Source organism: Homo sapiens, chromosome 7 (assembly GCF_000001405.40).
Source record: "Homo sapiens chromosome 7, GRCh38.p14 Primary Assembly".
In the NCBI taxonomy this organism is placed as follows: Eukaryota; Metazoa; Chordata; class Mammalia; order Primates; family Hominidae; genus Homo; species Homo sapiens.
The window spans coordinates 144,250,526-144,257,662 of record NC_000007.14 but is presented as its reverse complement, the minus strand read 5'-3'; the positions used below and the strand labels follow the sequence as shown (position 1 = coordinate 144,257,662).

General features: G+C 39.1%; 2 long non-coding RNA genes and 1 pseudogene across 3 annotated transcripts in view, besides 1 other annotated feature; 2 read left to right on the top strand and 1 right to left on the bottom strand.

The window, feature by feature from the left end:
• Positions 1 to 7,137, bottom strand: part of ARHGEF35-AS1 (ARHGEF35 antisense RNA 1) — a 104,269-nt gene that overhangs the window by 41,927 nt on the left and 55,205 nt on the right. The gene's annotated exons all lie outside the window — the stretch shown is intronic.
• OR2A1-AS1 (OR2A1 antisense RNA 1) overlaps positions 1 to 7,137 on the top strand; it is a 117,146-nt gene that overhangs the window by 98,056 nt on the left and 11,953 nt on the right. The window lies entirely within an intron of this gene.
• OR2A20P (olfactory receptor family 2 subfamily A member 20 pseudogene) lies at positions 6,060 to 6,989 on the top strand (annotated as a pseudogene). The gene has a single exon (NR_002158.1). The product of NR_002158.1 is annotated as an olfactory receptor family 2 subfamily A member 20 pseudogene (transcript).
• Positions 6,510 to 7,010: an enhancer, noted in NCBI's record as "H3K27ac hESC enhancer chr7:143947746-143948246 (GRCh37/hg19 assembly coordinates)". NCBI's record gives its function as "activates a minimal SCP1, AML or CMV promoter by ChIP-STARR-seq in naive H9 embryonic stem cells {active_cell/tissue: H9 hESC(naive)}" and the evidence as "EXISTENCE:reporter gene assay evidence [ECO:0000049][PMID:30033119]".

The following is a 7,137-nucleotide window of genomic DNA, read 5'->3' as shown; positions in this document are numbered from 1 at the left end:
ACATGTCATTTTGAGATGATGTTTTTTCTAGGTTTAAGTTTGGTCTTAAACATTTATATTTAATTTCTCATTGTCTTAGTTCAAAGAATTTACTTTTATATTTTAAAATAACTTTTTACACAATAACTCAGTGTCATATCATGTTAGATATAAAACTATGTCCTAAAACTATTTTATCCTTTTTTTTTTTTTTTGAGACAGTCTTGCTCTATAGCCCAGGCTGGAGTGCGGTGGTGCAATCTCGGCTCACTGCAACCTCTGCCTCCTGGGTTGAAACAATTCTCCTGCCTCAGCCTCCTAAGTAGCTGGGACTACAGGCATGTGCCACCACGCATAGCTAATTTTCAGTAGAGACAGGGTTTGTATTTTTAGTAGAGACAGGGTTTCACCGTGTTGGCCAGGCTGGTCTCAAACTCCTGACCTCAGTTGATTCACCTGCCTCGGCCTCCCAAAGTGCTAGGATTACAGGCATGAGCCATCCTGCCCAGCCTATTTTATACTGCTTATACTATTTATATAGTATAAAAATAGTTTTAAAACTATTTTATGGTATACTTTTTATAAAGTAAAAAGTATACTGTAGTATAATTTTTATACTATATACCATATTATATTTTTATAAAGTTGTTTCCATTTGCTACTAACTTTTTCTTTTGTATGTCAGTTTCCTGATTTCTACATTTCCTGCAGGTCACCTGGAACATCAAAAGAAAAAGAAAAGCTGTAATATTGATGGGTGGCCTACTGTGCAACAAGATTTTCATATAGTGTTTTTGGTGTTATATGGATGTTTCTTCTCGCAGTGGATGTGTAGAGTCAGAGCACAGATGGGCATACTCTCAAACCTTAATAACTGTGCCACATTGCCCTTTGAGTTTATTCTAAACCTTAGCAAGTCAGAGATCACACTGTATGGAACTAACTTCTATCTAAATTGCATGATTGATTGATAGGAGATTTCCAAATAACATTTGGACTGCCTTACATCCAGTAAAAGAACTCAGCAAAATACAAATAAATATGATAATATCTTAGACAGCAAATCTTCTCATCCCACAAGAGGCAGGAAACTGCTAGAGGAAGCTGCCTTGGAGAGGATTCTTTCCTCCCCTCCCGAAAGGAGCTGAACTCAAAATCTCTCCATTTCACAATAGACATTGGAGAACATTTTCAACAGTGGATTTGCACCGGTGTTTTGTGTCCTAGAAAAACGTTCCCTTCAGGTAGGTTCTAATAAGCCCCACTGGGACATTTTGGACACCCTTGTCTGCTCTCTGCCTCTCTAACCTTAGAGGGTCCCTTGGAATCAACTAATATTTCAGGTCCTTTCTTCCCATTACTGTTGCCACACAAGGAACCCAGATTACATCAGGGAGAGGCTGAGCTCCAGAGGTTCACACCAGGAGCTTATTCATTGTCACACTGTTCCTGCTTCCTGACAGGTTCACTTGAACCATCTGGAGATTGGGGAACAAGGGCAATGTGAGTATTCATGAAATTCAAATCATGCCAAGTATTCCGGGATGGGAATGGTTGTCTCAGAGGTGTGCTCTGTGGTTGACTGACCTTGAGCTTGCGTTTTCTTCCTTTTCTTTTTTTTTTAAATTATACTTTAGGTTTTATGGTACATGTGCACATTGTGCAGGTTAGTTACATATGTATACATGTGCCATGCTGGTGCGCTGCACCCACTAACTCGTCATCTAGCATTAGGTATATCTCCCAACGCTATCCCTCCCCCCTCCCCCCACCCCAGAACAGTCCCCAGAGTGTGATATTCCCCTTCCTGTGCCCGTGTGATCTCATTGTTCAATTCCCACCTATGAGTGAGAATATGCGGTTTCTTAATATGTGTTTCTTAATTGTGCATCCTGCTGGGGTTGAGAACAGAAATTGAAAAACACAATTGTTTTATCTCTCCTTCCCCGAGGAGTTGAACATGTAGGAAGTTTCATGGCCCAGCCCCTCCTGAGAGCCCTGAACTGCCAACCAGACTGAGCCCATCAGAGAATAACACCTCATTTTCTGAGGATTCTGATACCTTTTCAATCAGAAACAGAAGCAAAGATTCTGCAGCTCCCACAGAAACTCCCAGAAACCTTGCGGTGCTTCACCCTTCTGAGATCCTTGAGTCCGAATGTGGGAGCTAACCAGGTTGCCTTTCTTTACTTACCATGAATTCCTCCTAGACTCGTGGTGGCACCTAGGCTTTGGTTCACTCTCACTCTGTTACTAACACTTTTTATTAAGTAATGGGAAGGGAAGTAAATCATTTATTTTATGGCTAAACATATATGCTCATTATTCATATTATATATCAATGGTTCCAGGGGAAAAATAGATGCACATTTGATGTGCAAATTATGTAAAAGTGTTTAGGACTTGGCTATATATGTTTCTTTGGTGGAGAAATATCTATGTGATAGAGATTTCTTTGGGAAAGATGACACTCACAAAAAAAGCCAGAAATTTCTGTTTTATAGATTTTGATAAAATGTATGAAATAATTTTCGCAGCCAAAGGAAAGTATAGCACAGTATATTATGGAGAGATGTTACAGCTCAGGAAAATTAATACATGTCAGCTGTTTAATAAATTATGCATTTAATTATTGCCAGTACAGTCACAATACATGCTAATCTATGAGAATATATTTATTGCAATAGAATATAAACCCAAATGGATGCTAAATCTATGTCTTATCTTTCATTAAGCATGGCACTAAAGAGGGCATAAGGCACCTGCAATGTACTAGATAAATATGTATAAATATTAGATTTTCCATAGACTGGAGGATAAGTTTTTGTGGTGCACATGGAAAGAGTACAGAAAAAGAACTCAGGTGGTAGGTGGTGGTGTAACAAAGTAGGAAAACGATGTAATAATTAATAATACTTTAAATTTTCTTTTTATAGGATTTTTGTTTAATGTGTACCTTTTTATTTATTTCTGCTTTTCCTCCCGAGGCACATCTTCACAATGAAATCTTCACAAGCTCAGAACCATCAACTTGCTACACTGTGTTCCTCCAGTGCCCAGTTCACAGGAAGCACTCAAGAGTAGGATCAATTGTTATCAACCTCTAGCAGATTATTGAATAGACGGTCGTTACATGAAACTGACACTCAGTTCTTCATGGTCCACGATAGTTCTTATATCCAGAAAACGTACTTACGTTATCAACTCTGACTCCATAAGACAACTTTGCAAAGTCTTGGCTCATAACTATGTAAGCAATGAGATAACTTAGTTTTCATTTCTCACTTGTTACTTACAAGTAAACAGCCCTGCAGCTCAGCTGAGCTACAGATTAACTACAGGTAATCACTTCAGCGATTCTGCTTTACCCATGCCCAAGATTTTAAAAAAGAACCTGACAGATCATTAAATTTTGAGATTTGCTTTTTAAAATGCAGGTTCCATAAAGTTACGCTGTTTTGCTTATATATACAGCAACAAATGCCTTCTTAGATATTTACTTTAAAATTCTAGTTTCCTTACCATGTATTAGCCAGATAATCTGTCATTTTTTAAATTCTGAAATTGTACATATATAAATTAATGTACATCTCTATGCCTGAAAGGTACATTTGGAATTACAACGTGTGTCAAGGTAGAGCAAAATCCCCCAGTCCACTCCTTCCAACCCCCTAGAAATTTACTCTGTTTGGTTTCCTCTTGATTGTCTTTAATTAACAATAAGTATGTCACATAGGTATCAAATAAAATAAGAAAAAAAATAGATAAAAGAGAAGTGATTCAAAATTCAAGTGTTTAAACACTTTATGAATCTTCCCGTTGTTCTTGACACATTTTTAAAATTTCATTTTAATTCAGATCATTAGGGATGAAATTCTCCTGAATTGTAGCATTTTATTTCCTTTGGGAAGAAGGGGCTGAATTTGGCATAATTATACTTGACTATACTGTAAAAGAAACCAGATCTAATATAAGGACATCAATACTTAGTTATTAATTCATTTGCTTATATTTATATGTCATTTGAAAATGTGTATTAACATACACAATTAAAGGGATATAAAAATGAACATGCCCTCTCCATTTCTTTAAAAGAAATCAAGGCTGAATCAAACAGGACTACTGTTCTGAAAGAATACTCAGACTATGAGGTACCTTATTTTCCTTCTTTTACACCTGTCTTTCAGTTGGCTTCAAAAAATCATGGCTTTTACTGTGTTTCTTTTTTCCTTTATGTCTTCCTTTTGAGGGAAATGAAAAATTGAGAAAGGAAATTATTATTTTATAAGTGGGTGGGTTTGAATACATCTTTCACAGTCAAATATTTTTCTATGCCTTATGAGCTTAAAAAATAAATTTAGAAAGTTTGATAAACACAGAAATTTTTTATTTTATGTTATTTTATGAGATGAGGGCTTGCCATGTTATCCAGGCTGTCCTGGAACTCCTGGGCTCAAGCTATCCTCCTGCTTTCAGCCTCCCAAGTAGCTGGAACTACAGGTGCATATGACGGCACCTACTGAGAAATTTTTACTATCAACCTAAAATTTAATAAGTCCTGGTCACAAGTGAGGAATTTTTAATTTGTTATTTAGATTATTTTTGTGTCAAGGTAACTTGATCACCTATCAATAATGCTTATAAGAAAATAGATATCTCATCTGTTGCTGTTAGAAAGGAATCTGTCTCTTTCCCCAGTTCTTGCTTCAATGAGGTTTCCTTGACCCAGAGTCTGGTCCTCACATTTTAGATTCAGCTTTGGGAATTTTGTTCAGGAACTGCATCATACAACCCAAAAGCAAAAGAGGAAAATGCATAAGCCAGGATACCTAAATGTTCATTTATTTAAACTTGAAAATGTGACTGCAAAAGGAGTCAAGAAGTTTAGTACTCAACACATTTCTTCTTTGTAGAAATAACTGCTCAAGAAGATAAATTGTTACCTAACAGTTGATTGATGAATATGAAATCAGAGCAAGAGGGGCTAATTAGAGATTTTACTAGCTAGGGCTATTTACCCAAACCATCTATCCAGACTGTAGACATAGAATCACCAGATGGCTAGGATCCTGGTGCAGCTGGTTCCCCTTTTTCCTTACCCTGAATGTCATTAAGGATGCATTGCCAAATGCTGCCCCTCTGGCCTGATGACTACACTCCATATTGGTCACCTGCCTTCTTTTTCCTACAGTCTTCCTCCAGACAGGCACGCCATACAACCGACTACACTTGGGCTCACTGAATGAATCACATTCTTCTGCTGTGCCTCCCAGAGATTTCATCAAAGCACCCGCAGTGGCCTTCTGGAGGCTCCTCAAACTCTCCACTCAATGTTTCCTGAAAGTGTCGTGTTTCTCACCTCTAGATTGTTATTCTCATCAGTTACATGTGGGTTTCACAAATTTATTTCTCAGAATGCAAGTCTGTCTCTTATATCCTCGGGAAACACACCTTTATATCCCAGTTAGTACTGACAAAAATTAAACTAGGGACTGGCCAAAAACAGTGCCTTTCCTCACTTTAATCTCACTAAAGTAGATAAGACTCAAGTTATTTTGTTCTTGCAATGGCATTGACAAATGTTTGCACCAAAAACCATGTTGAAGTTCATTAAGGAAACTGTGATCCAAGATCCAAGGTCAAAAAAACAAATTCATCAATTCAGCACACCACCAACTCACAGGCTAAGCATCTTACTGCTAATTCATTGATGCTGCCATTTGTCAAGTGCCAAATTGAATTATTGATTTGTCAATAATTTCCTTCCGTTGGTTACTTATATAGTATATTGCAATTCTTGTTGCTGAAGTCAGCTACACTTTTTCTATTTGAAAAACAATTTCTTGCATTTGGGATTTCAGGTATAGTGATTGTTACAAATATGAAGGACTTGAATTAACAGCAAGTTTTCAAGTAAAACTTTACTTATGTATAACTGAATGAGTTCTTAAAGACATTTACTAACAATTTTCCACAAACTAAAAATTTATAAAACAATAAATAAAATAGACTTTAAAAAAAAGCGTGTCACACAGCTGCTTGTTTTTTGTTTGTTTCTTTGTTTGTTTTTTAGTAGTGAAATGGTGAAAAATCAGACAATGGTCACAGAGTTCCTCCTACTGGGATTTCTCCTGGGCCCAAGGATTCAGATGCTCCTCTTTGGGCTCTTCTCCCTGTTCTATGTCTTCACCCTGCTGGGGAATGGGACCATCCTGGGGCTCATCTCACTGGACTCCAGACTCCACACCCCCATGTACTTCTTCCTCTCACACCTGGCCGTCGTCAACATCGCCTATGCCTGCAACACAGTGCCCCAGATGCTGGTGAACCTCCTGCATCCAGCCAAGCCCATCTCCTTTGCTGGCTGCATGACATAGACCTTTCTCTTTTTGAGTTTTGCACATACTGAATGCCTCCTGTTGGTGCTGATGTCCTACGATCGGTACGTGGCCATCTGCCACCCTCTCCGATATTTCATCATCATGACCTGGAAAGTCTGCATCACTCTGGCCATCACTTCCTGGACATGTGGCTCCCTCCTGGCTATGGTCCATGTGAGCCTCATCCTAAGACTGCCCTTTTGTGGGCCTCGTGAAATCAACCACTTCTTCTGTGAAATCCTGTCTGTCCTCAGGCTGGCCTGTGCTGATACCTGGCTCAACCAGGTGGTCATCTTTGCAGCCTGCATGTTCATCCTGGTGGGACCACTCTGCCTGGTGCTGGTCTCCTACTCACACATCCTGGCGGCCATCCTGAGGATCCAGTCTGGGGAGGGCCGCAGAAAGGCCTTCTCCACCTGCTCCTCCCACCTCTGCGTAGTGGGACTCTTCTTTGGCAGCGCCATCGTCATGTACATGGCCCCTAAGTCCCGCCATCCTGAGGAGCAGCAGAAGGTCCTTTTTCTATTTTACAGTTCTTTCAACCCGATGCTAAACCCCCTGATTTACAACCTGAGGAATGTAGAGGTCAAGGGTGCCCTGAGGAGAGCACTGTGCAAGGAAAGTCATTCCTAAGAGGTGTGACATTTGAACTGCCAGCCTCAGTTGTCACGTGGACTCTTGATGCCCAATTATTGCCTCAATCCAGAAAAGTTTACTTCTCTTTATCTGTGCTTTACTGACAGAAGGGCAAGTCTTCTCTCGTTTTTTGCAGATAAAA